The sequence below is a fragment of the Homo sapiens genome, chromosome 19 (assembly GCF_000001405.40).
Source record: "Homo sapiens chromosome 19, GRCh38.p14 Primary Assembly".
Lineage (NCBI taxonomy): Eukaryota > Metazoa > Chordata > Mammalia > Primates > Hominidae > Homo > Homo sapiens.
Window position 1 is genome coordinate 19,145,503 of NC_000019.10, and position 26,344 is coordinate 19,171,846.

Consider the following 26,344-nt stretch of genomic DNA (forward strand, 5'->3'; position numbering starts at 1 on the left):
TCAGGGCTTCTGGAGGGGGCACCCCAAGCCAAGACTAGGCAAGAATGAGGCGAGTCACAGTCAGTCTGGTCCACGGACGCCACGCGCGTTTTATTTGTGGATATACACACAAATAGGAAGAAGGAAAGGAGCCCCCCAGGGTGGATTGAGTCCAGCCGCCCACCTCCAAGCCCCCACCGCGGAGGGGGGCGTCACTGTTGGGTCTTCTCTGAAGAGGCCTGGAGGGAGGTGGGGTCCCCACGTGCCCTCGCCGTACCTGGCGAGCGCTCTGGGCTGGTGCCACCGGGTGATCTCCTACCGGGGCCAGCCGTCGGCCAAGGGCAGCCGGCGCAGGGCGGGCCCAGGCCGCAGAGGCTCTGCCAGGGACCGGGCGAGGAGCAAGGGATAGGGGAAGGTCTTAGGAAAGTCGCCGGGGCCCCCGGGGGCCGGAGAGAGGCGCTCAGACTTGATGCTGACTGGGGGGGTCGGCGGGGAGGCGCCGCGGGTTGGGGGACCCTCCTCGCCCAGGCTTCGGCCCCCACTGCAGGGGGAAAGAGAGAGGGAGGCCGTGAGCTCAGCGAGGAAGGGAAGGAAGCCAGGGGATGGCACAGCGTGGGCAAAGGCTTGGCAGGAGGACCCTGGGAAAGGAGGGGGTGGCGGTCCCTCTTGGGGCCTCAAAATAGCTGCCCATCCGTACCGGAAGTGTGCGCAGTACCAGGGATGGCCACCAGGGGTCAGCAGCGGCCGGGGCTTTGGAGGACTGGGACTTGCCGTCGTCTCAGGGCACTTACCTGGGCTGGGAGGACACGGCGGGGGGCCCATCACCCCTCGAGGGCTGCCAGGGGGCCAGGGTGGGGGGCTGCAACAAGCCAGGGGGCGGTGGAGGGTCTCCCAGGCCATATTCTGGTGGGCAGGAATTGGGGGCTGAGGCCTGGACATCTCCTTAAGCCTTCTGCAAACCTAACCACCCCCAGTGACAGTTTTGAGTTCTGGTGGGTGGGAGGGTGTGGAACCCCCAGAGGGCAGGAGTGCGGACGCTTCCCAGGTGGGGCAGGGCAGGTTAGGGGATGTACCTGGGGGGCCTCCGGGGAGGAAGGGGAAGCTCCCCAGTGGGGGTCCGGGAGTTGCAGTGGAGCAGGGGTTCTGCAGGCCACTGTAGAGGCTTCTCTGTGCGGAGAGAGGGTGAAGGGGAAACTGAGGCCCACACCCAGGTCGCCCTGCCTGCCCTCATCAGCCCTGCCACACCCTCCCCTCACTCACGGAGGTGTTTAGTCCCCCTCGGGGCCCAGCCAGGCCACCAGGCAGGTCTGACCTCCGCCCTTCCGTCGGCAGGTACAGTGGGGGTGGTGTCTTGCTGGTGAGGTGGCTTGGTGAGAAGAGAGGGTGCACCAGGCCTGGGGAAGAGGAGACCCCAGAGAGAGAGGACAGGCAGGCCATGTCAACTAATGAAGTCTGAGGTTTAGAGGTGATGCACGCAGCCTGGCAATGCCAGAGCCAAGATGCACCCAAACAGCCCCTCAGGACCTCACCCCTGCCCCACTGTCCCATGCTCACCTGGGGGCCCGGCTTTGGGGGCTGCTGGTCGGAAGGGAGATGGGCGGCTCTGGGCGGGCAGTGCTTCCCCAAGCCCACTGGGGTCACAGCCTGGTGGCGGTAAGGCCCCGTATACCACATCTGGGCTGGGCATAGCAGGAGCTGCAGGCTGTGGGTAGAGAAGGGATGGGTCAGAGGACCCCAGGCCAGATGGGGGTGCCAAGTCCAAGGGAGAAAATCCTGATGAGTTCAGGGGCCCAGCTCTACCTTCAGGAAGCCTTTGCTCCACCTCCCACCAGGCTCCCTACCTGCTCCTCCCCCTGCCCTAACCCTACAGGCTGGGGGAGCTTCTGTCTGGCTCTGCCTGTCCTTGACAGGTAGGTCCAGAGCCAAGACCTCTCACTTAGTGTAGAGTTGGCACTGAGGGGGCTGCACAGAGTGTTTGATGAATCAAAGATGAAATGAAGGAAGGAACTGTTTGCCTGTTGAACTCTTATTCATCCTTCAAAGCCCCAGCTACAGTGCCCACTTCTCAAAGAAGCCTTTCCTGACCAACCAGGTAGAGACCTGCCTCCAAACTCTAGGATCCCTGGCTCTAAGCCCCTCTCTCAGTACCAGCCTCAACGACTTGGGCCTAGGAAGTAGGAGGAATGCCTCATTCACAGGGCCAGGGAGTCACTTACATACAGCCGGGGTCGGGGCAAGGCCGGATCACCCCCTTCGCCTGCCAGCCTCCGAAACTTCTCTCCTGGCTCCTCAGGCCCTTCATCCGGCTCCAGCTCTGGCCCATCGAGGCCAATGCCCCTCCGCTTCAGCGTCTATGGGGACAGGAGACAACAGGGTAGACCCTTACCCCTACCCCACCCAGGGAACCCAGTTCTATGGGAGAGGGGACAGACCATCCCCACCCAGCTCCATGAGTGGGGAGGAATGCAGGCATGGCCTGCTCTAGCCAAACCCCACTGACCAAACCCCGGTGAGTTACCAGCTAGCAGTTTCCTCCCCTGGGACCGAAAAGCCCAAGGACCTGCCCAGATCAACACAGCAGGAGCTGAGATCCATGCAGGCCTGTTGGCGCTGTCCTAATGCTGCTCCTGACATGACTCCAGGACCTCCATTCTGCCCCCACTTGCAGCCTCATAGCCTGGCATCAAAAGCTGCTTAAGAGGCCGGGCGCGGTGGCTCACGCCTACAATCCCGGCACTTTGGGAGGCCGAGGCAGGCAGATCGCTTGAGGTCAGGAGTTTGAGACCAGCCTGGCCAACATGGTAAGACCTCCATCTCTACTGAAAATATAAAAATTAGCCAGGCATGGTGGCGTATGCCTGTGGTCAGAGCTATTTGGGAGGCTGAGGCAGGAGAATCACTTGAATCCGAGAGGCGGAGGTTGCGGTGAGCTGAAATTTTGCCACTGCACTGCAGAGTGGGCGACAAAGCAAGACTCATTCTCAAAAAAAGAAAAAAACTGCTTAAGAAACGCCAGCAGATTTCCTGAGCTGCCTTCTCCTGGGGCCACAGAACCGCATGCTCCCGGACCCCAACCTCTTCTTTGCCAACTTCTGCCCCACACTTCCAAAACACTGCGGACTCCCAGGCCTAGTCCCAGCCCGCTGCTCTCTGCAGCCCTTAGGCTTTAGCTTCCCATCCCAGTGAAGACTCCTCTGTCTTATTTATTTATTTATTTATTTATTTATTTATTTATTTATTTATTTTTTGAGACAGAGTCTTGCTCTGTTGCCCAGGCTGGAGTGCAGTGGCTCGATCTCGGCTCACTGCAACCTCCGCCTCCCGGGTTCAAGCAATTCTCCTACTTCAGCCTCCCAAGTAGCTGGGATTAGAGGCATGAGCCACCACACCTGGCTAATTTGGGTATTTTTAGTAGAGACTGGGTTTTGCCATGTTGGCCAGGCTGGTCTAGAATCCCTGACCTCAAGTGATCTGCCCACTTCGGCCTCCCAAAGTGCTGGGATTGCAGGTGGGAGCCACCGTGCCCTGCCCGATGTGCTTTATTTCTGCTGTCCCCAGAAGGGCTCCCCCACTCCCAAATGTTTGGATGAGTGGAGGGTCCCTTCTAGGGACAGCAGAAATAAAGCACGTCAGCCACAAAGCCAGATGAAGACACTCATCTTTTGTGCAAACCAAGAGTCCCTGGGCTCTGAGAAAGCAGCGTGCACGGGGCCTTGTGGGGCTGGGGAGGAGGACCTGGGGTACCTCGAGGATGTCAGTGTTGGTGCGGCTCTCGTGGGGCTCGCTGTACTCTGTGTACTTCAGCAGCACACGGTCCATGTCCGTGCTGGCATACTGGAAGAGGCGGTTGGCGCTGTTGAAGATGATGAGGGCTATCTCACAGTCACAGAGCACGCTCAGCTCATAGGCCTTCTTCATCAGCCCGAACTTCCGCTTGGTGAACGTCACCTGGACCCAGGACCCACAGGGGCAGGGGAGAGAAGAAGAAGAGATGAATGTGGGGTGGTGTAGGGGAATTGGCAGGGCCTAACCCTTCCTCGAACATGCCTCAGGATTCTTTCTGGCTGAGCTGGTAATTCTCATGTCACAACCTGGCAAACTCCTACTGGAGCTTCAAAACCCAGCCCAAATGTCTGGGAAGTGTGCCTTGGCTTCCCAGGCAGAGTCCACATGCTCTCTCTGGGCTTTCCCAGTTCTGGGCCTCCCTCTGTTCTGGCCCTCTGAGTTAGGTGTGGCTGTGTCAAGCTCCATCTCCCCTATGGCTGGGGTTCCAGTCATCAGGGAGAATAAATGAATAATGATCATGAAAATGAGCAGGCCAGGTGCGGTGGCTCAGCCTGAGGTCCCAGCACTTTGGGAGGCCCAGGCAGGAGGATTGATTGAGGTCAGGAGTTCGAGGCTAGCCTGGGCAACATGGTGAGACCCCTGACTCTACTAAAACTACAAAAATTAGCCTAGCCAGGCGTGGTGGTGGGCGCCTGTAATCCCAGCTGTTCGGAAAGCTGAGGCAGGAGAATCACTTGAACCCAGGAGGCGGAGCTTGCAGTGAGCCGAGATCGCTCCACTGCACTCCAGCCTGGGCAACAAAGTGAACTCCATCTCAAAAAAAAAAAAAAAAAAAAAAAGGAAGGATGGAAGGAGGGATGGAAGGAAGGAGGGAAGGAGGGAGGGAAGGAGGGAGGGAGGGAAGGAGGGAGGGAGGGAAGGAAGGAAGGAAGGAAGGAAGGAGGGAAGGAGGGAGGGAGGGGAAACAAGAAACACTGACAGACCAGGCGCGGTGGCTCACGCCTGTAATCCCAGCACTTTGGGAGGCCGAGGCGGGCAGATCACGAGGTCAGGAGTTCGAGACTAGCCTGGCCCACATGGTGAAACCCCGTCTCTACTAAAACTGCAAAATTAGCTGGGCTTGGTGGTGCGCACCCGTAATCCCAGCTACTCAGGAGGCTGAGGAAGAATCGTTTGAACCCGGGAGGCAGAGGTTGCAGTAAGCTGAGATTGCACCATTGCACTCCAGGCTGGGCAACAGAGTGAGACTTCATCTCAAAAAAAAAAAAAAAAAAAAGAAAGGCTGACATGGCATCAGGACTCCTCATGCCTCCTCATTCCCCTGCAGTTCAATTGGTCAGGTCAGTCCCTTGCCTAGGCCATGCCCCCTGCTAGGAATGTCTTTCCCAGCCACTGTTCCACCCAGTGAACTCACCTGCCGATTCCTTTGGTCCAGGATGCGGGAGATCTGGATTTTTTTCCTCCCCATCGTCCCAGGCTGAGTGGAATGATCTTTGTCTAGGAGGAGAAGAGGGAGAGGACAGAGTGAGTGGGTGGAGAGTGGGGAGGGGTACCCCAGCCTCACACCTCTCCTCTGTCTGCCCCTGCCAGCCACTGAGAGGAAGATGATGGGGAAAATCAAGGCAGGCTGGGTCACTGTCGCAGACCCCGCCCCCGGCCAGCCTTAGGATGCAGTAGAGGCTCAATGAACATGTTTAGACCAAATGGGGCATGGTGGCTCATGCCTGTGATCCCTAGCACTTTGGGAGGCCAAGGCAGGAGGATCACTTGAGCCTGGGAGTTTGAGGCCAGCCTGGGCAACATGTTGAAACCCCGGCTCTACAAAAAATGCAAAAATTAGCCAGGCATGGTGGCACACGTCTATAGTCCCAGGTACTCCGGTGGCTGAAGTAGGATGATCACTTGAGCTGGGGAGGTTGAGGCTGCAGTGAACTATGATCTTGCCACTGCACTCCAGCGTGGGCAACAGAGACCCAGTCTTTAAAGGAAAAAGAAAACAGAATAATAGAAACGCCTCCTGCTCTAGCAGGAGGATGCAGGCACACTCTGGAAAGGCCTCCAGCTCAGAGTCCTTGGGCCAGGGTGTGGGCCTGGCATCCACTTGGTGACTTGGAAGAAATCCTGTACCCCACTCAAGGAGATGTGAGATCGCCCTGGTAGGGGTCCCAGAAGGAGGAGACTGCTGGACTATGCTGGGGTCCAGGCCTTCCCCAGAGACCCCCACTCGAGGTTCCTGGGAACAATCGAATCATGTGGCCTGTCCTGCAGCCGCCGCCCTCTGTACAGACGTCCCCTGACACCACAGGGGACGTCCCCGCTCCGCCAACTGTGTGACCACACTCCACCTCCCAGCCTCTACCATGTCACAGGTGACTGAGGCTTCAGGCAAGGGGCCTCTCCAGGGTCACGCGGACCTACGCTCAGGCCTGGCCTTCCCTCTGACCCTCAGGGCAGCCCTCAGCACAGAAGACCCTTTCCCCAGGCCTCAGTTTGCTCTTCTGTGAATGGGCTGGTAGGAAATGCTGAGCACCCACCACCAGGCTTGGCAACAAGTTATCAAGAAATCCAGATCAGGCCGGTCACGGTGGCTCACGCCTGTAATCCCAGCACTTTGGGAGGCCGAGGCAGGCAGATCACTTGAGATCAGGAGTTCGAGACCAGCCTGGCCAACATGCTAAAACCCCATCTCTATTTTTTTTTTTTTTTTTTTGAGACGAGTTTTCACTCTTGTTGCCCAGGCTGGAGGGCAATGGCGCGATCTCGGCTCACTAAAACCTCCGCCTCCCAGGTTCAAGTGATTCTCCTGCCTCAGCCTCCCAAGTAGCTGAGATTACAGGTGCCCTCCACTATGCCCAGCTAATTTTTGTATTTTTAGTAGAGACGAGGTTTCACCATGTTGGTCAGGCTGGTCTCAAACTCCCGACCTCATGATCCACCCATCTTGGCCTCCCAAAGTGTTGGGATTACCACCGCATCCTACCCACCCCATCTCTATTAAAAATGCAAAAATTAACCAGCTGTCGTGGCGCACACCTGTAGTCCCAGCCACTTGGGAGGCTGAGGCAGGTGTGTCACTGCACTCCAGCCTGGGTGATAGAGCAAGACTCTGTCTCAAAAAAAAAAAAGAAAAAGAAAAAGAAAAAGAAAAAGAAATCTGGCTTGGCGTGGTAGCTCATGCCTGTAATCCCAGTATTTTGGGAGGCTGAGGTGGGTGGATCACGAGGTCAGGCGTTCGAGACCAGCCTGGCCAACATGGCAAAACCCTGTCTCTACTAAAAATACAAAAATTAGCCAGGCATAGTGGTGGGCACCTGTAGACCCAGCTACTCAGGATGCTGAGGCAGGAGAATCCCTTGAACCTGGGAGGCGGAGGTTGCAGTGAGCCGAGATCCCGAGATTTTGACAGGCTGGGCAACAGAGCGAGACTCCGTCTCAAAAACAGAAAGAAAGAAATCCAGATTGTTCTCTGGGAGTGTTCTCAGGGCTTCCCAGACCCCTGCCCAAGCGGTCTGGGCAAGGCCCTCCATTATCCCAGGGCCCAGAAGTGTTAGATACCTCGGCTGGCAGATATGGCATGCTGTGTGACCCCAGGCACACCCTCTGCCCTCTCTGGGCTGGGTCTCTGAGCCCCCACAACTATGTAGAGCCCAAGCTGTCAGTCCCAGACCCTCAGCTCCGGCTTGACTTGCTAAATTTAACCTCCAGGGCTAATTTTAATCCCCAGCCGGAATCGGGCCTGTTCCCACGGCTGGGATATGTTGCCCCCACCCTGATGGGTCCCTGGGGGGTGGACGGGGGCCTTGGTCCGGAGGTCCCAGGGCCAAGATGACTCCGGAAATGCCCCTGATGCCCAGGGTCCCACGAGAGCAGCAGCAGGGCTGGGGCTTAGGCCTGAGTCTCTTAAGCCTGGAAGACCTGACTCAAGCCCCTTCTCACTCTGTCTGTCCCCATTTTAGACACAGACACCATGGCTAGGGCAGAGGTCATGTGATGGGGGAGAACTGGGAAGTCTCTCTCTGCACTGAGACCCTGAGAGCTGAGATAGAAAGTGAGTTCCAGGCAGAAGGAAGAGCAGGTGCCAGGGCCCTGAGGAGGGACAAGAAACAGCGGGAGGGTGGGGATGAGGCCACAGAGGTTGGGCCATTCTAGGACTCCTTCTTTTGGGTTTCCTTCTTTTAATTTAATTTATTATTATTATCATTATTTTGAGACAGAGTCTCACTCTGTCGCCCAGGCTGGAGTACAGTGGCATGATCTTGGCTCACTGCAACCTCTGCCTCCCGGGTTCAAGTGATTCTCCCGTTTCAGCCTCCCAAGTAGCTGCGATTACGGGCATGCACCACCACACCTCGCTAATTTTTGTATTTTTAGTAGAGACGGGGTTTCACCATGTTGGCCAGGCTGGTCTTGAACTCCTGGCCTCAAGTGATCTGCCCGCCTTGGCCTCCTAAAGTGCTGAGATTACAGGCGTGAGCCACCACGCCTGGCCATATTTATTTTTTTGAGACAGTCTTGCTCTGTTGCCCAGGCTGGAGTGCGGTGGTGAGATCTCAGCTCATTGCAGCCTTGACCTCCCAGGCTCCAGTAATCCTCCCACCTCAGCCTCCTGAATAGCTGGGACTACAGGTGAGTGCCACCACGCCCTGCTAGTTTTTATTTTCTTTTTGTAGAGATGGAGTCTCACTATGTTGTCTAGGTTGGTCTCAAACTCCTGGCTGGAAGTGATCCTCCTACCTCACCCTCCCAAAGTGCTGGGATTCCAGGTGTGAGCCACTGTACCTGGCCCACTGTGGGCCTTCTGAGCTGGAGGAGGGCTGTGGATTTTGGTCTAAGAGTGATGTGGAGCTATGAGAGCATATTTTATTTTATTTCCTATTGTATTTTATTTTTTATTTTTAATATATATATATTTTTGAGATGGAGTTTTGCTGTGTCACCCCGGCTGAAGTGCAGTGGCGTGATCGCGGCTTACTGCAACCTCCACCTCCCAGGTTCAAGTGATTCTTCTGCCTCAGCCTCCCAAGTAGTTGGGACAACAGGCATGTGCCACCATGCCCAGCTAATTTTTGTAGTTTTAGTAAAGATGGTGTTTCACCATATTGGTCAGGTTGGTCTCAAACTCCTGACCTCATGATCCGCCCGCCTTGGCCTCCCAAAGTGCTGGGATTACAGGCATGAGCCACCGCGCCCAGCCTTTTATTTTATTTTTTGAGACAGAGGCTTGCTCTGTCATGTAGGCTGGAGTGCAGTGGCACAGTCTTCACCTCCCGGGTTCAAGCGATTCTCCTGCTTCAGCCTCCCAAGTAGCTGAGATTACAGGTGTGCACCACCACACCTGGCTAATTTTTGTATTTTTAGTAGAGACAGGGTTTTGCCAAGTTGGCCAGGCTGATCTTGAACTCCTGACCTCAAGGGATCCGCTGGCCTCAGCCTCCCAAAGTGCTGGGATTCCAGGCGTGAGCCACTATGAGAAGGTTTTAAGCAGAGAAGGGATGGGGCTTGGTTTATTATTTTAAGACTCAGCTCATGGCTTCCATGGGGAGCAGGTCTGTTGGAGGCCAGGGTGGAGATCATGGGCGGCTGGAGAGAAGGCAAGGGCTGTGTCCGTCTTGACAGAGACTGGGGGTAGGGCCCCCTCTGTGCTAGGCCTGTGCCTTGCACTTTAAGTCACTGTACTCCAGGGTGCGTTAGTCCTCCAGAAGCCAGCAGGCCCTACACCAACTCTGGAGGCAGGCCTGACAGGTGCAGATGAACTCACGCAGGAGTTTCACTCTCCTGAACCCCAGTGACATTGGAACCAAAGCCATCCTCCACTCTAGCCCCTGAGGGAATCTACCCAACCAAACACAGCTCTGAGCATGGCCCCCTCCTGCTCATACACTCTCCATGGCTCCCCACTGCCCTTATGAGAAAGTTCTAGCACCTAGCCTGGCATTCAAGTCTTCTTCCCAAATCAGCTCTTGCCTACTTCTCTCTCTTCGATAAATATCTCTGACTAGAAGGACCCTTTCCCCTTTTTCACCAAGCCAACTCCTATCCAAACGTCAAAACCCAGTTCAAAAAACCCATTCCTCTAGGAAGTCCTCCCTGCCATTCTTCTGGTCTCCCAGAGTCACCATCCTCCTCTAGGTCAGATTCCATGGCATTGGGGGTATATATATCCAGATTTGTCTCCTCCAGACTAAAAGCCCCTCTGGATCAGGGCCAGGAATGGACAGTAAGGTTTGGTGAGCAGAGTAGATCAACAGAGATGTCACTGACCCCCTCCACAACCCTACAGCTTCCCTCAACAACTTCCTCTCAGACTGCCCCAGCTGATACCCTGCCCAGAAATACATGCACATGCAAATCCAGCCACTCAGCATTGACCTGTCTCGGGCCCAGGTGTGAAGGGCCAGGCAAAGAATGCGGAGGCGGCAGGCCAGAGTGTGCATGTATATTTGTAGTCACATGCAAATCCCTGCCCAGAGCCGCAGACAGACCCTGGTGGCCCATTCTCCAGATGTTGGTGTGATCGGAACTGCTGGGGGAGGTGGCAGCACAGGCTGAATGTGCCAGGCACGAGGGGGGAAGCTGAGGTTTGGGGAGGCCTCTTCCGCACACACATACCCTCCCTGCTTTGTCCAGCCAGAAATCAGAGAGCTGTGGCATCTGCCCAGCGCAGAAGCACAGAGGTGGACCTATTGACCAAGGAATGGAGCACAGAAGAAAGAACAGGAGAAGAAACCCAGGAGAGCTTCTTGGGGGAGGAGGCATGTAGTTGGATGTAGACGCAGAGGCTGGATGGGAGCCTGAGTAGAAGGGGAGGGAGGTGGGAATTTGAAGCTAAGAGTCCAGTACCTTCCTACTCCTTTCATTGCACCCTCATACTTAGCGTTTATTAAGTATCAACCTGTGCAAGTCACTGAGCCAAGCTGACCTCAGAAGAAGTAGAAAGCTTAAGTAGACCAACAACCATAGAAGATTAGAAAGGTGACTCAGGACCTACCATTAAAAAGGTAATAAAGTGGGCTGGGCATGATGGTTCACACTTGTAATCCCAGCACTTTGGGAGGCCGAGGTGGGAGGATTGCTTGAGCCTAGCGGTTCAAGACCAACCTAGGCAACATAGCGAGACCCCTATCTCTAAAAAAAAAAATTTTTTTTTTAAAGGCAATAAAGTTCAAGGCTGCAGTGAGCTTTGAGCTGCTGCACTCCAGCCAGGGCAACAGAGTGAGACTCTGTCTCTAAAAAAGAATAATAATTTCAAAATTAAAATAATAACTAAAAAACATGTTTAAAGGCCCAGGTGGTTTTACAGCTATTTTCTCAAATCTCACAGAACAGGAAAGTGCAGCATTATTTCAGTGAACTTAGATCTTTGAAATAGACGGGATCTAGCCGAGTCACTTTTTTTGTTTTTGAGATGGGGTCTTCCTCTGTCGCCCAGGCTGGAGTTCAGTGGTGCAATTATAGCTCACTGTAGCCTTGAACTCCTGGGCTCAAGTGATCCTCCAGCCTCAGCATCCCGAGTAGCTGGGATTACAGCTATGTGTCACCACACCCAGCAAATTTTTAAAAACTTTTTATAGAGATGGCGATTTGCTGTGTTGCCCAGGCTGGTCTCAAACTCCTGGCTACTCCCAGATACTTCCAGCTACTTGAGAGGCTGAGGTGGGAGGATTGCTTGAGGCCAGAAATTGGAGACCAGCCTGGGCAACACAGCAAGAACCTGTCTACAAAAAAAGTAAAAATTAGCTGCACGCCGTGGCACACACCTGTAGTCCTGGCTATGTGGGAGCCTGAGACGGGAGGATTCTGTGAGCCCAGGAGTTCAAGGTTACAGTGAGCGATGATGATCTTGTAAGCTCTTCCACTTCCAGCTCTCATGCATTGCTGGTGGCAGAGGAAAAAGGGACAAGCACTTGGATAATCCTCTGGCATCTACTAAATCTGAACAGATGCCTACCCTGTGACCCAGGAATTCCGCTCCTCGATGTTCAATATTCACGCAAGAGAAATGGGTCCAAGTTACACCTGAGGACACAGACAAGAATGTTTTCTACAGCTTCATACATCATTGCCTCAAACTGGAATCAACCTGGAAGCCCTTAATGGGAGAGCTGGTCAACACTTTCTTGTTGATTCTATGATCAGTTATAGCACAGCACAGAAAAAGGGTGCACTCTCGCTGCACACAACCACGTGGATGAATCTCAGAGACCATTGGCCAATTCGACGATCCCAGACTCCATCGAGAAGATGCACTGTGTGATTTTATTTACATGAAGTTTCAGAACAATCAAAACTCACTGATGCAGCTGGGCGCAGGGGCTCAAGCCTGTAATCCCAGCACTTTGGGAGGCCAAGGCGGGCAGATCACTGGAGGTCAGGAGTTTGAGACAAGCCTGGCCAACATAGCGAAAACCCATCTCTACTAAAAATACAAAAATTAGCTGGGCGTGCTGGCATGTGCCTGTAATCCTAGCTACTCGGGAGGCTGAGGCAGGAGAATAGCTTGAACCCAGGAGGCGGAGGTTGCAGTGAGCCAAGATTGTGCCATTGCACTCCAGCCTGGGCGACAGAGCGAGACTCTGTGTCAAAAAAAACAAAAAACAAAAAACCCTCACTGAGGCTGATGGATATCAGACAGCACTTTGGTCACCCTGGGCAGAAGCTGTGATTAGGCAGTGGCCCAAGGGGGAAGTCCCAGGGGCTAGGGAAGTCCTGTTCCTGGATCCAAGGTTTGGGTACACAGATATGTTCAGTTTGTGCAAATGTGTTGAGCTCAACTCTAGTGGTTTGTGCATTTTTCTTCGTGTGATTTATTTCAAAAGGAAGATTTCTTTTTTTTTTTTTGAAGTGGAGTCTCGCTCTGTTACCCAGACTGGAGTGCAGTGGCATGATCTCAGCTCATTGAAACCTCCACTTCCCGAGTTCAAGCGATTCTCCTGTCTCAGCCTCCTAAGTAGCTGGGATTACAGGTGCCTGCCACTGTGCCCGGCTAATTTTTGCATTTTTACTAGAGATGGGTTTTCACCATGTTGGCCAGGCTGGTCTTAAACTCCTGGCCTCAGGTGATCTGCCCACCTCAGGGGCCAAAGTGCTGGGATTACAGGCGTGAGCATGGGCGCCCCCGGCCCAAAAGGAAGATTTCTAAAAAGCTCCAGCCAGAGCAACATAGTGAGACCCTGCCCCTAAAAAAAAAAAAAAAAACAAACTAGGGCCAGGCCAGGCACGGTGGCTCACGCCTGTAATCCCAGTGCTTTGGGAGGCTGAGGTGGGAGGATCACTTGAGCCCAGGAGTTCAAGACCAGCCTGGGCAACATGGCAAAGCCCTGTCTGTAGGAAAAAAAAAAAAAAATTAGCTAAGTGTGGTGGCATGCCTGTGGTCCCAGCTACTCAGGAGGCTGAGGTGGGAGAATCACTTGAGCCCAGGAGGTGGAGGTTGCAGTGAGCCAAGATCACACCACTCCACTCCAGCCTGGGTGACACAGCCAGACGCTGTCTCAGAAAAATAAATAAACAAAAATAAAAAAATTTAGCCAGGCGTGGTGGTGCACCCCTTAGTCCCAGCTACTCAGGAGTCTGAAGTGGGAGGATCACTTGAGCAGGGGGAGGCAGAGGTTGCAGTGAACTGAGATCCTGTCACTGCACTCCAGCCCGGGCAACATTGTGAGACTGACTCGAAAGTTTTTTTTTCTTTTTTTTGAGACAGAGTTTTGCTCTTGTCGCCCAGGCTGGAGTGCAGTGGCGCAATCTCAGCTCACTGCAACCTCCTCCTCCCCAGTTCAAGCAATTCTCCTGCCTCAGCCTCCTGAGTAGCTGGGATTACAGGCACACACCACTACACCCAGCTAATTTCTGTATTTTCAGTAGAGATGGGGTTTCACCATGTTGGCCAGACTGGTCTCGACCTCCTGACCTCAGGTGATCCACCAGTCTCGGCCTCCCAAAGTGCTGGGATTACAGGCGTGAGCCACAGTGCGTGGCCTAAAAAAAAAAAAAAAAAAAAAAAATTAAATCTAGCGGGGCATGGTGGTGCCTGCCTGTAGTCCCAGCTACTTGGGAGGCTGAGGCGGGAGGATCACGTGAGCCCAGGAGATGGAGGCTGCAGTGAGCTATGAGTGGGCCACTGCACTCCAGCCTGGGTGACAGAGTAAGACCCTGTCTCTAAAAATAAAAAAGCTCCTTGCTGCTTATGGCTGCTGTGGGGAGCAGTGTCTGTTCAGGCTAGAGTGAGGTGACAGGAAGAGGCTGGGCCAGTGGGAAATACAGAGTTTGAATGGAGACAGGGGTGGCACCTGGGCAGAAGTGGTGACCAAAGGGTGCAGGATGTGCTGGTGACCTGGGATAGAAGAGGAGCCTGGTGATCCCAGGCCTGAGCGATGTGGGGGTGAGGGGGAATTGGGAGGACAAAAGAAGAGCTCAGGAGTGCGGAAGCATCAGAAACTTTCTGGCAGTATCTGTGGTCACTAAGTCAATCAACAAACATTACCCTGAAGTCCTTCAAGCCATAGATTATCATCTCCCCAGCCTGGCGAGGCCCCTTAGCCCCCCAGTAATGGAGATGGGGTGCTGGAGGGAATCCCACCCTTCCACTGACCCTTCCCCTCTGGCCTCTCTGCGTGGTAGGACTCAGTTCTCTTACCTGTTAATTGGGGGTGAGAATCCTTCTCCCACCAGCTGGGAAGAGGGTAGGGAGCAGGGGTCTACTGAACTTTTTTTTTTTTTTTTTTTGAGATGGAGTCTCGCTCTGTTGCCCAGGCTGGAGTGCAGTGGCGTGATCTCGGCTCCCTGCAACCACTGCTTCCCAGGTTTAAGCGATTGTCCTGCCTCAGACTCCCGAGTAGCTGGGATTACAGGTGCACACCATCACACCCAGCTAATTTTTTATATTTTTGGTAGAGGCGGGGTTTCAGCATGTTGGCCAGGCTGGTCTCGAACTCCTGACCTCAAGTGATCCGCCTGCTTTGGCCTCCCAAAGTGCTGGGATTACAGGTGTGAGCCACCACACGGGGGCCTCTATTGAACTTTTCTTCTGGCTTCTGGGAAACCAAAAGGAAGAAGGTCTGGGCCTTGGAACTGGGGGCGCTGAGTCAGTACAGCATCCTGCAAGACCACCTTGAAATACTGTCATCAGTCACCTGCTTCCTCCCCCATAAAATGGGTCACAGGATCCTAACCTCACAGGCTTTGCAGAGGGGTTTAAGAGAAAAGATTAGGAACAAGTCAAGTTCCCTTTCTTGGCACCCCTGCGGGACTTTACTGGGGGGATGAGCTGCAGAGTCACTTCGCCAGACCCCTGAGCCCGCAGGGAGGCCACGGCTTGGCAGAGGAACCCAGGCCGGGAAAGGAGAAGTGAGAGGCAGGTGGGTTGGGTGGGGGTGGGGGTGAGGGCCCGCGGGAGGCGGTGAAGCGGGGAGGGGGCGCTGCTCCCGGCCCCTGCAGCGAATCAGGCCTGCCGCCCCGCCTCACGCAACCCAGGCTGTGGTTTCATCACCTGCTCCCCAAGTACCTCATTATGGGCGACAGGAAGAGCCCCTTGGAAAGCCAGGACCCCTCCTCCCCTCTCCTGGGGGCTCCAGCGGCTCCGACCCCAGCTGCAGGCGACCCTCCCTCCCCAGCCAGAGCCCTGGGCCCGCCTCCTCCCCGGGGGCCTAGGGAGGTGGTACCCAGGTGGGGGGGCATGTAGGTGACCTGGCGGCCTGGCTCAGTTCACAGCGGTCCCTGGAGCCCCGCACCTGCCCTCAGGGACTCAGGGGAGACGGTGGGCTCGGGCAGTGACTCCCCTGTTGCTGAGCTTCTCTGGAACTCAGTTTCCTCCTCCAGAAAGTCAGGGGGCAGCAGGGGCCACCTCGCTGAACTGGGGGGAGGGGCTTCACAGTAAGGTGCTTTACAGATGCGGGGAGGATTTGTGGTCGATGGGTCCTGATGCCTCTCAGAAGGCCTTGGGGTCACCTCTCCATCCTGGGGGAACCCAGCTCAGATTGCGGGCCCCAAAAAGTCCCTGGTGGAGTGCTGAGGGACAGGGGCGGATGGGGTTGGGGGTCACTCCATCCTTGTATGGGCATAATGGGAGGTAGAAATATTCCCCACACACGGAGACCCCCAAACAGAGCCGCAGAAAATCCACAGATGCCCGAAACAACAGATCCCCCAAATACACAAGTATTCCTCCTGCGAAAGTCCCCAAAATACATGCAGTTCACGATACGCCAAACCCCCCAACCCACACAGCTCTCCAAACACACACATCCCCAAAACACATCCTATTCCCTCTGCATAGACAGACCCCAAAAACACTCAGACATACCCAGATGCCCCAACACATGCCAATCCCCCAAATGCACAGACACATACAGATCTCCCTAAACACATGGCCGTCCCGCAAATACACACAGACCCCTTTCCCCTGAACAATGTGGAGACCCCCGCCAGACGCATGCAGACTCTTCCAAACATATGCAGACTCCCCCCAATCCATGCTGGTCCCCCATTACATAGGTAGGGCCCCCCCATCCCTGCAGTGATACCACCCACACTCTAGCTTTCTTCTTTTTTGTTTTTTTTTTTTGTGAGACAGAGTCTCACTTTGTCACCCAGGCTGGAGTGCAGTGGCGTGTTCTCTGCTCCCTGCAACCCCTGCCTCCTGGGTTCAAGCGATTCTCCTGCCTCAGCCTCCCCAGTAGCTGGGATTACAGCCATGCGCTACCACACCCAGCTAATGTTTGTATTTTTAGTACAGACAGGGTTTCACCATGTTGGCCAGGCTGGTCTTGAACTCCTGGCCTCATGTGATCTGCCTACTTCGGCCTCCCAAAGTGCTGGGATTACAGGCCACCATACCTGGCTGGGTTTCCTCTTTTTAATTATTATTATTTTTTTTTGAGATGGGGTCTCGCTCTGTTGCCCAAGCTGGAGTGCAGTGGTGCCATCATAGCTCACTGCAGCCTCCAATTCCTGGGCTTAAGCATTCCTCCCACCTCAGATTTCCCAGCAGCTGGGGCTACAAGCGCACACCTAATTTTTAACCAGACTATGCCAGGCTAATTTTTTTTATTTTTGTAGAGAAGGGGCTTCATTTTATCACACTGGCTGGTCTTGAACTTCCGGCCTCAAGTTATCCTCCTGCCTCAGCCTCCCTAAGTGCTGGGATTACGGGTGTGAGCCACCACACAGGCCTGGCTGCCTTCCCAAGGCCGGGTGCTCTCCACCCACCAGGGGTGAAATGCAGGCTGGGGGCATCTGAGGCTAGATTTGAATGGGTAGTGTTTGAATCCAGGATTCTTAGAATGTTCCAGCTGGAGAAGGCCCCATGGGGGTCCTTTTTTCCATAGGTCCCTCTGGCACCCATGGGGAAAGTGAGGCCCAGTGGGGAGCCCTCAGACCCTCCTTCCCACCTCTCCCTGGGCCTGCTCCTGGGAGGGACAGCTCCTGTTCGAGGGGCAGGAGTCCACGGTGAGTGGGACCCTCTGTGGGACGCCCCCTCTACTTCACTCCAGGATCCCATTTTGGCCATGCACAGAGAGGCCAGGGCCGGGGCTGTAGGCCAGTCAGTCCAGGATTCAAATCCTAAACCCGCCACTTGCCCACTGCGTGATACTTTCTGAGCCTCGGTTTCCTGTGTTTGCAGGGGTCCCCACAAACTCCCCATGTACCCACCCACCTCTCCCCTCACTTGAAAAGGTGTCATCTACCAGCAGACTCCCAGCCCACCTTCTGCCCCTTTGGGGGCATCTGCAACACCAGCCCCAAACTGATTCCCTACTTGCCCATCACTCTCCCTTTGCCCGGACTGTGTCCAACCCCGGGACACCCTTCTAGGTTTGCCCAAGTCCAGGAGTGTCTCCATGTCCTCTAAAGACCTGCAGAAAACGCTCTTTCTGGAGGCATCAATCTTTTTTAATATTTATTTTAATTTTTTCAGGCAGGGTCTCATTCTGTCACCCGGGCTGGAGTGCAGTGGTGTGGTCTCGACTCACTGCAGCCTGGCCCTCCCGGACTCAAGCGATCATCCCACCTCAGCCTCTGGAGTAGCTGGGAGTAGCACGGCGCCACACCTAGCTAATTTTTGTATTTTTTTAGAGCCGGGGTCTCCCTGTGTTGCCCAGGCTGGTCTCAAACTCCTGGTCTCAAGTGATCCTGCTGCCTCGGTCTTCCATAGTGCTGGGATTACAGGTGTAAGCCACCACGCCCGGCCAAATTCAACTCTTTCTGCAGCACCTCAGCCCTATCAGACTTTTTGGTGTGTGTTTCTTTATTGCTTTCTTTGATGAGCATCTCGCCCTGCCGGCTTCCCAGCGCCTAGTACATAGAAGGCCCTCAATCACCCTTCCTTGAATCAACGACCAAACAACTGCTTCACAGACAGAAGAAACACTGCCAACTTGCTCAGTTTTCTGTTTTTCTTTTTTCTTTTTTTGAGATGGGGCCTTGGTCTGTCACCTAGACTGGAGTGTAATGGCACAATCTGGGCCTACTGCAACCTCCGCCTCCCAGGTTCAAGCCAATCTCTTGCCTCAGCCTCCCGAGTAGCTAGGGCTGCAGGCGCCTGCCCCTCCACATGGCTAATTTTTTGATTTTTTGACATCTTATTTTTTGTAGAGACAGGGTCTCACTAGGTTGCCCAAGCTGGTCTTGAACTCTTGAGCTCAAGCAATCTGCCTGCCTTGGCCTCCCAAAGTTCTGGGATTATAGAGGTGAGCCACCACACCCAGCCCTACTTGTTTTTTCTTGAGATGGGTTTCGCTCTTGTTGCCCAGGCTGAAGTGCAGTGGTGCGATCTCAGCTCACCGCAACCTCTGCCTCCCGGGTTGAAGCGATTCTCCTGCCTCAGCCTCCCTAGTAGCTGGGATCACAGGCTCGCCCCCACCATGCCCAGCTAATTTTTTATTTTTAGTAGAGACAGGGTTTCTCCATGTTGGTCAGAATGGTCTCGAACTCCTGACCTTCAGGTGATCCACCCACCTCAGCCTCCCAAAGTGCTGGGATTACAGCCGTGAGCCCGGCCCTACTTGTTCACTTCTCACTGAAACACCTCATGGTCCACACAACAAATTTAAGGCCCCATCCAGCCCACAGGCTGCCAGTTTGTGGCCCTTCCTCTAAACAACCTTCACAGCAAAACAGCCAATTGGACAGTGCTGATGCTCCTCTCAGGCCAAGGAACTGGCCCTCTGAAGGTCCCACTGCCCAGCTTGGGAGAAAACCACGTCCAGGTGACCATCCATGGCAAACCTGACCTGGCACAGGCACCCTCACCTGCCAAGAAGGCCTGTTCCAGGCCGGGTGCGGTGGCTCACGCCTGTAATCCCACTACTTTGGGAGACCGAGGTGGGCAGATCACTTGAGGTCAGGAGTTTGAGACCAGCCTGGCCAACATAGTGAAACCCCATCTCTACTGAAAATACAAAAATTAGCCGGGCATGATGGCGGGCGCCTGTAATCCCAGCTACTCAGGAGGCTGAGGCAGGAGAATCACTTGAACCCAGGAGTCAGAGGTCACCCAGCCCATGGAGCCAAGACAGACCCCGCAGTCTGAATTTGACCCTGCTGTCCCATGCAGGCTAGAGTCTAAGGCCCTCTCAGGCCCCTAGTGATGTCCCCTAAGCCACAGTAGTGGCTGCAGGGACAGCCCAAGGTTTTCCTCTCTTTGTTCCAGAGAAAGCTCTCCCTGCGGGGCCTCAGAAATGGATCCCCAGATGCCCCAGCCTCCCTGCTTGGGAAATTAGCACATCTGTCAGCGCTGGGCAGAAGGGACCCTGCCCACAGCCCGGCAGCCCGAAGATGCAGCCAGCAGGGACCCCGAGATGGGGCTTTAGGACACTGTCAGTCCCCAATATCTTCCCGCAGAAATGTCTAGGAGCCCCTCAGGTGCTGGGGATGCAGGAGCAGGGGGTGGGCAGAGCAAGGCCTCCCCCCATCACCCAGTCTGATGGGGGAGGCAACAGCAGCCACATAACCGTATCTGGGAAGACGGCCTTCAAGGAAGAAATTCAACAGGGGGAGGCAGTGGAGGGTGGCAGGGAGAGAGCTGCTTTGGACAGAGGATCCAGGAGGGTACCACACCTGTAATCCCGGCTACTCAGGAGGCTGAGGTATGAGAATTGCTTGAACCCGGGAGGCGGAGATTGCAGTGAGCCGAGATCGCACCACTGCACTCCAGCCTGGGTGACAGAGCAAGACCCTGTCTCTGAGGTGTCTCAGGGAGGTGGGAGCCAGGTGGACACAATGGCAGGTGCAAAGGCCCTGAGGTGGGACTGTGCTAAACAGGTGGCTTCCAGGAGCAGGCAAACCCCACACATCTGGGGTGGAGTGAGCCAGGAGTGGCCAGAGACAGAGAAGGTCAGAGAGGCATTGGGGGACAGAGAGAGGGTGGACTGTAGAGCAATAGGGAGCCATGGAAGGTGTGTGAGGAGGGGGAGGACTGTGGTCTGATTTGGAATTTTCAGAAGACCCTGTGGCCTGTTGGAGCAGGAAGCCAGGCCAGCATCCAGCCAGGGATGGTAGGGCTTGGACCAGGCACAGGCCACAGGTTGGAACAGTGGGCAAGGCAGGCCCATGCCCACAGCAGCCATGACTCTTATTACAATCCACCTCCATTTCTCCCTTCCTCAGGCCCCACCTTGACCTTGGGTGAAACTGGGCTTGGAGGGAAACAGCACCTGGCAGAGGGCAGAGAGGAAAGGGGCCTGGATGGGCTCACAAACACCTCCACTTGGTCACAGCCCAGATGGGACCTTCTGTTATTGAGCCCTTACTGTCTGCCCGGGCCCACACCCCGCCTCATTTACATATAAGACCTGCCTGACCCCCAGACACCCCAGGGAAGCAGCGATAGTTGCCCTGTTTTGCACAGGAGTGGGCAGGCTTCTTCCAGGGCCACATGGTGAGACCTCCAGATCCCCACCCAATCCTGGGCTTGTACCCCAGGGCCATCACGTGGCACCTCAATCTCACCACCCCCACCCAGGCTGGGAAGTGGGCCTGGGCTTGTCCAGCCCAGAATCACCGTCACAGGGTCCAAGAAACTCAATCCTGGGCCGCAGGGTATCAGGGTAACCACACAAGTCCCCAAGATACAGCCCCAGAGAGGCCCTTTGGGGGCTGAGAAATGGGATTTAACTTCCTTGCCCACCCCATGGGGAATCATGGGCCAGGGCTGGGGCGAGTTCCCTGACCCCAAAAGGGATCCCAGACACATTTCTAAGTCGTCTCAGAAAAATGGCATCTGGTTGGGCTCATGCCTGTAATCCCAGCACTTTGGGAGGCCGAGGCAGGAGGACCATTTGAGCTCAGGAGTTCAAGACCAGCCTGAGCAACATAGGGAGACCCCCCCATCTCCAATTAAAAAAAAAAAAAAAGCCAGGCAAGGTAGCACTCCCCTACAATCCCAGCTACTCGGGAGACTGAGGTGACAGGATGGCTTGAGCCCAGGAGTTCAAGGTCACAGGGAGCCATGACTGCAACACTCAAGGAAAGACAGAAAGACATCTGTCTCTAGACCACTCTGTGCCTTGAATCTTCCAGAAGGGCAGGGCGTGGTGGCTCATGCCTCTAATCCCAGCACTTTGGAAGGCCGAGGTGGGCTGATGGCTTGAGCCCAGGAGTTCGAGACCAGCTTGGGCAACATAGGGAGACCTTGTCTCTATAAATAAATAAATAAATAAGTGGGCCAGGTGCGGTGGCTCACGCCTATAATCCCAGAACTTTGGGATGCCAAGGTGGGCTGAGTGCTTGAGTACAGGAATTCACGACCAGCCTGGGCAACATGACAAGACCCCATATTTATAATTTTTTTTTTTAATTAGCTGGTCACAGGCTGGCCACAGTGGCTCACGCCTGTAATCCCAGGACTTTGGGAGGCCAAGGCAGGTGGATCACCTGTGATCAGGAGTTTGAGACCAGCTTGGCCAACATGGTGAAACTCTGTCTCTACTAAAAATACAAACATTAGCTGGGAATGGTGGCACGCACCTGTAATTCCAGCTACTCAGGAGGCTAAGGCAGAAGAATCGCTTGAACCTGGGAGGTGGAGGTTGCAGTGAGCCGAGATTGTGCCACTGCACTCCAGCCTGGGCAACAGAGTGAGACTCTGTCTCAAAAAAAAAAAAAAAAAAAAAATTAGCTGGGTGTGCTGGTGTGAGCGCGTATTCCTAGCTCCTCAGGAGGCTGAGGCAGGAGGATCACTTGAGCCCAGGAGGCAGAGGTTGCAGTGAGCTGAGATCACACCACTTTACTCTAGCCTGGGCAACAGAGCAAGATGCTGTCTCAAAAACAAAGAAAGAAAGAAAGAAAGAAAGAAACCTCTTCCAGAAGGCCAAACACCCAACATGTCTACACTCACTGCACCCAAGTTGGGGTGAGCAAATGTTTTAAATTCCCCTTCTCTTCTTAATTTGCATTTTCCAGATGTCCACCTGGTTGGGTCATAGTTTAACCAAATAAATCATTCGTTGGGATGGGAAAGCCAAGAGTGGGTTCAGCTTGCTCCGCTCACAGGAGCTGCCACAAAGTTCAGAGAGGGGCAGCCACCTGTTGGGGGGTCACACAGAGAGGAGGGAGAGGAAGCTGGGCCTCGTGACCCCAGCCTCTGTTCTCTTGGGGGACTGAGGCATGGCCTTGAGCTCCATCCTTTTTTGAGGGGCCTAGTGTTACTACCTGGCCTCAGCCTTCCCTCCTGCAAACCAGCTTCCTGCTCTCTAAGATGACATCCCAAGATCCTAACTGTCCTGAAATTCTGTTTGCTGGAGGCCAAGCTTCCCCCTTTACTGAACAACAGGAAGGGGACATGAGGGAACAAGCCTGCCTTTTTAGAAAGCCCTTTTCATCTCTGGAAATCAGTCCTCACACACTGGTTCTCCGAAGTCGAAATACTTTTTTGTATCCAGTTTCCTTCACTCCAAGAGTCTGAGAGTTCTTGTCCCGAATGCCCAAGGTCCAGGGGCCCTGCCCTTCCCCAGGGATGATTCTTGGCCAGGCTAGCCTGAGGCCTTGATTATTGTTTTGTTTCTTTCTTCTTTTTTTTTTTTTTTTTTTTTTGAGATGGAGTTTCACTCTTGTTGCCCAGGCTGGAGTGCAATGACACGATCTTCGCTCACCACAACCTCCGCCTCCTGGGTTCAAGCGATTCTCCTGCCTCAGCCTCCTGAGTCGCTGGGATTACAAGCATGTACCATCATGGCCGGCTAATTTTGTATTTTTAGTAGAGATGGGGTTTCTCCATGTTGGTCAGGCTGGTCTCGAACTCCTGACCTCAGGTGATCCGCCCGCCTCAGCCTCCCAAAGTGCTTGGATTACAGGTGTGAGCCACCGCGCCTGGCCATTTTTTTGTTTCTTTTCTTTCTTTTTGTTTTTCTTTTAGAGACAGGATCTTGCTCTGTCACCCAGGCTGCAGTGCAGTAGCTCAGTCATAGCTCACTGCAGACTCGAACTCCTCGGATCAAGTGATCCTCCTGCCTCAGCCTCCCGAGTAGCTGGGACTATACACATAAGCCACCACACCTGCCTAATTAAAAAAACAATTTTTTTTGGCCAGATGCGGTGGCTTACTCTTGTAATCCTAGCACTTTGGGAGGCTGAGGCAGGCAGATCACATGAGACCAGCCTGGCAAACATGGTGAAACAACGTCTCTACAAAAAATGCAAAAATTAGCTGGTCATGGTGGCACACGCTTGTAGTCCCAGATACTCGGGAGGCTGAGGCAGAAAATCAATCACTTGAACCTGGGAGGCAGAGGTTGCAGTGAGCCAAGATTGAGCCACTGCGCTCCAGCCTGGGTGACAGAGTGAGACTCTGTCTCAAAAAAAATTTTTTTTTAAAGCCAGGTGCAGGGGCTCACGCCTGTAATCCCAGCACTTTGGGAGGTTGAGGCAGGTGAATCATTTGAGGTCTGGAGTTCAAGACCAGCCTGGCCAACATGGTGAAAGCCCATCTCTACTAAAAATACAAAAACTAGCCAGGCGGTAGTGGCACGCGCCTGTAATCCCAGCTACTTAGAAGGCTGAGGGAGGAGAATTGTTTGAGCCTGGGAGCTGGAGGTTGCAGTGAACAAAGATCACCACTGTACTCCAGCCTGGGCGACAGGATGAGACCCTGTCTCAAAAAAAAAACAAAGAAAGAAAAGAAAAGAAAAAGAAAATGGGGGTCTCACTATGTTGCCCAGGCTGGTCTCAAACTACTGGGCTCAAGTGATCCTCCTGCCTCAGCCTCCAAAGTGCTGGGATTACAGGCATGAGCCACAGTGCCCGGCCAGCTATTTCTGACTAATTGGGTCTGCAACTAGGGGTTAGGGTGGCCAAGGACACAGGTCACCCATATCTGCAGCCCTGGACCCCAAAAGAGATAGGGAGGGAGGACTGTGACCGTGAAAGTAATGCTGCCACCACCTTGTCATGTGCTAACAACCACACGGGGATGTGACTCTTGTTCCTGTACCCATTGAGGCAAAGGGAGGAGAGTTGGCCCCGGCAGCTGTTGCTCCCCCGTTCCAAGGTTTTGTGCCTACCATCCTGCTGTGACAAACGAGTGTACACCCACAGCAAGAAGGCATAGGGTTGTGCACAGGGGATGCGCTAATGCTAAAGGAGTGCACACCAGGAGAGAGGGACATCACATGCCACATCACAGAGCTCACAGACACATAATAGGGCCTCACAGCACCATGATTTTGGACACACAGCTAACTCTCCAACTCCCCAACTCACACCAAATCTCAGACGCAGAGCCCTTGGACACACAACTTCCAGACCCACACCCTTCAGACACACACCCCTTGGAGACACAACCCCCTCCTGCCACAACCTCGGGGACTCACCACCCCACGACACACACCCCTTTAGACACACACCCCACCCTGGGACGCCCAGCAGTACACCCGGACCTCCAAAACCCACCCAGCCCGCAGAAGCCGTTCAGAGGACACCACAGGAGTCTCAACCCGATATGACACGCACCTGCTCGGCCTGGGCCCTGGGACGCTGGGCGCACGGACCCGCGGCGGCTGCACGAAGATCAGGGGCCCGCGGCCGCAGGTGCCTTGGGAGCGGGCGGTCCTGCCCCCGGGAGCTGATTGGGCGGGACGGGCTTATTTGCATACAGGGCGTCACCCTGGAGGCGGCGATGGGCGTGCACTTGGGCGTGGCCCCGACCCGGGAGTTCATGGGCCTGGGACTCAGACGCGAAAGGATGCTGGGGCGCCATGGGTGGGGGCGCGGATAAGGAAGAAGCAGAACGGAGGGAGGGGGCTGGATCAGACTGGCCAGGCTTTCCCCGCCCTCACTGGGCGCCCTTGACCTTACTGCCGACCCCTGACCCTACTGTGACCCTAACCCTAATTCTAAACCTTTTCCTAACTCGGCCCAACTTGCCTGGATTGATTCCATCCTGAGTGAAATAGACTCCGATCCCGGACCCCGTCGCCCCGAGGAACCAAGCCCTTCTCGCAGGCAACGCTGACCCTCGCGCTCGCTAGAATGGAAAGACTGCAAGACGGGGCTCTCGGGTGGCCTGTGTGGCCTCACTCAACTGTGCCTCCTGGGGCCAGATATGTGCTCCCACAGGGAGTGACAGACCCTCCGCAGCTACTGGTCCCTCAAGCCCGCACCGCCTGCCCCTCCACAGTCCAAGACAACCACACTGCTTCCACCAACCACTTCCCTCTCCTTACCTCTCCCCGCTAAAGGCTGTTTTCTAAACTTCAAAGGTCAGCTGTGAGGGGCCTTCCAGGATTGGACCCCAGCCCAGAACTCTAAATCCACCCCTTCCCCTGGGATCCCAGCACAGGCCAGACCCACAGGAAGATCAGAGCAGGGGTTGGTGAATGTATCAATGTGAAAAGAATTACAGGATAAAGATGGCTCTGGGATGGGCACTTCTGGAGAAGCCCCCGGCCCGTCTGGGGCAGGCAGGGGATCCATGCACTCCCCTAACCCTGTGGGGTCAGGCTTGGGCCAGAGGAGGGATGGGAGGCTGGGACAGGCCAGAATTGGGGCAAGGGCTGTGCCAGAGGAGTCAGGGAGGGTTTCTCAGAAGAGAGGGCATTTGTGCTGGGCTTTCAAGTATGTGTAGGAGTTTGCCACTAGGAGAAAGGTTTTTCTTGTTTTTTTCTTCAAGGCAGGATCTCACTGTGTTGCCCAGGCTGGAGTGCAGTGGCATGATCATAGCTCACTGCAGCCTCGACCTCCTAGGCTCAAGCAATCCTCCCAACTTAGCCTCCCCAGCAGCTGGGACTACAGGCAGGCCACCACCAGGTCCAGCTAATTTTGTTTTTTTTAAGAGAGGATGTCTCACTATGTTGCCCAGGCTGGTCCCAAACTCCTGGGCTTAAGAGATCCTTCCTCCTCGGCCTCCCAAGGTGCTGAGATTACAGGTGTGAGCCACTACACAAGACCCGAGAAGGGCTTTTTCAAGAGGGAAAAGCACTTGCAAAAGTGCAGAGGAAGAGCATAGAACATTCTCTGGCCGGGGAAGATGAGGAAGGTGAAGCCAGTATAGCGGGCAGGGGGTGAAGAGGAGGGGCAGATACAGGTGGAGAGCAATGGGGCTGCAAAGCTGCCTGGTGTCCATCTCCTCCAGAGAAGAGAGGGGCTGGTCCCC

General features: G+C 54.7%; 2 protein-coding genes across 5 annotated transcripts in view, besides 8 other annotated features; both read right to left on the minus strand.

The window, feature by feature from the left end:
- Positions 1-64: 64 nt before the first annotated feature.
- MEF2B (myocyte enhancer factor 2B) lies at positions 65-24,761 on the minus strand. Of its 2 annotated transcripts, NM_001145785.2 has the most exons (9): positions 24,703-24,761; positions 5,180-5,262; positions 3,724-3,927; positions 2,196-2,330; positions 1,534-1,681; positions 1,240-1,373; positions 1,053-1,146; positions 771-882; positions 65-520 (listed from the first exon to the last, which is right to left on the minus strand). In NM_001145785.2, exons 2-9 carry the CDS (start codon positions 5,231-5,233, stop codon positions 295-297), a joined length of 1,107 nt encoding a protein of 368 aa, NP_001139257.1. In that variant the 5' UTR covers positions 5,234-5,262; positions 24,703-24,761; the 3' UTR covers positions 65-294. The 2 variants fall into 2 exon arrangements, with proteins under 2 accessions (NP_001139257.1, NP_001354211.1); NM_001367282.1 differs by lacking the exon at positions 771-882.
- BORCS8-MEF2B (BORCS8-MEF2B readthrough) overlaps positions 65-26,344 on the minus strand; it is a 46,586-nt gene continuing 20,306 nt past the window's right edge. For 2 of the 3 annotated variants that reach the window (NR_027308.2, NM_005919.4), the window contains 7 exons: positions 5,180-5,262; positions 3,724-3,927; positions 2,196-2,330; positions 1,534-1,681; positions 1,240-1,373; positions 1,053-1,146; positions 65-520 (listed from right to left, as the gene is read on the minus strand). Coding sequence is in view for 1 of the 3 variants with exons in the window: in NM_005919.4 (NP_005910.1) it covers positions 192-520; positions 1,053-1,146; positions 1,240-1,373; positions 1,534-1,681; positions 2,196-2,330; positions 3,724-3,927; positions 5,180-5,233 (1,098 nt within the window). In the remaining 2 variants the exon portion in view is untranslated. Of the gene's footprint in view, positions 521-770; positions 883-1,052; positions 1,147-1,239; positions 1,374-1,533; positions 1,682-2,195; positions 2,331-3,723; positions 3,928-5,179; positions 5,263-26,344 lie in introns of all 3 variants that reach the window. The other variant, NR_027307.2, reaches the window with a different exon arrangement.
- Positions 6,205-6,264: an enhancer, noted in NCBI's record as "active region_14338". NCBI's record gives its function as "activates an Ori minimal core promoter by ATAC-STARR-seq in GM12878 lymphoblastoid cells {active_cell/tissue: GM12878}" and the evidence as "EXISTENCE:reporter gene assay evidence [ECO:0000049][PMID:35858748]".
- Positions 10,089-10,158: a silencer, noted in NCBI's record as "silent region_10433". NCBI's record gives its function as "represses an Ori minimal core promoter by ATAC-STARR-seq in GM12878 lymphoblastoid cells {active_cell/tissue: GM12878}" and the evidence as "EXISTENCE:reporter gene assay evidence [ECO:0000049][PMID:35858748]".
- Positions 10,379-10,558: an enhancer, noted in NCBI's record as "active region_14339". NCBI's record gives its function as "activates an Ori minimal core promoter by ATAC-STARR-seq in GM12878 lymphoblastoid cells {active_cell/tissue: GM12878}" and the evidence as "EXISTENCE:reporter gene assay evidence [ECO:0000049][PMID:35858748]".
- Positions 14,896-15,871: an enhancer, noted in NCBI's record as "H3K27ac-H3K4me1 hESC enhancer chr19:19271207-19272182 (GRCh37/hg19 assembly coordinates)". NCBI's record gives its function as "activates a minimal SCP1, AML or CMV promoter by ChIP-STARR-seq in naive H9 embryonic stem cells {active_cell/tissue: H9 hESC(naive)}" and the evidence as "EXISTENCE:reporter gene assay evidence [ECO:0000049][PMID:30033119]".
- Positions 15,117-15,446: a silencer, noted in NCBI's record as "silent region_10434". NCBI's record gives its function as "represses an Ori minimal core promoter by ATAC-STARR-seq in GM12878 lymphoblastoid cells {active_cell/tissue: GM12878}" and the evidence as "EXISTENCE:reporter gene assay evidence [ECO:0000049][PMID:35858748]".
- Positions 24,391-24,440: an enhancer, noted in NCBI's record as "active region_14340". NCBI's record gives its function as "activates an Ori minimal core promoter by ATAC-STARR-seq in GM12878 lymphoblastoid cells {active_cell/tissue: GM12878}" and the evidence as "EXISTENCE:reporter gene assay evidence [ECO:0000049][PMID:35858748]".
- Positions 24,661-24,920: a silencer, noted in NCBI's record as "silent region_10435". NCBI's record gives its function as "represses an Ori minimal core promoter by ATAC-STARR-seq in GM12878 lymphoblastoid cells {active_cell/tissue: GM12878}" and the evidence as "EXISTENCE:reporter gene assay evidence [ECO:0000049][PMID:35858748]".
- Positions 24,921-25,684: an enhancer, noted in NCBI's record as "H3K4me1 hESC enhancer chr19:19281232-19281995 (GRCh37/hg19 assembly coordinates)". NCBI's record gives its function as "activates a minimal SCP1, AML or CMV promoter by ChIP-STARR-seq in primed H9 embryonic stem cells {active_cell/tissue: H9 hESC(primed)}" and the evidence as "EXISTENCE:reporter gene assay evidence [ECO:0000049][PMID:30033119]".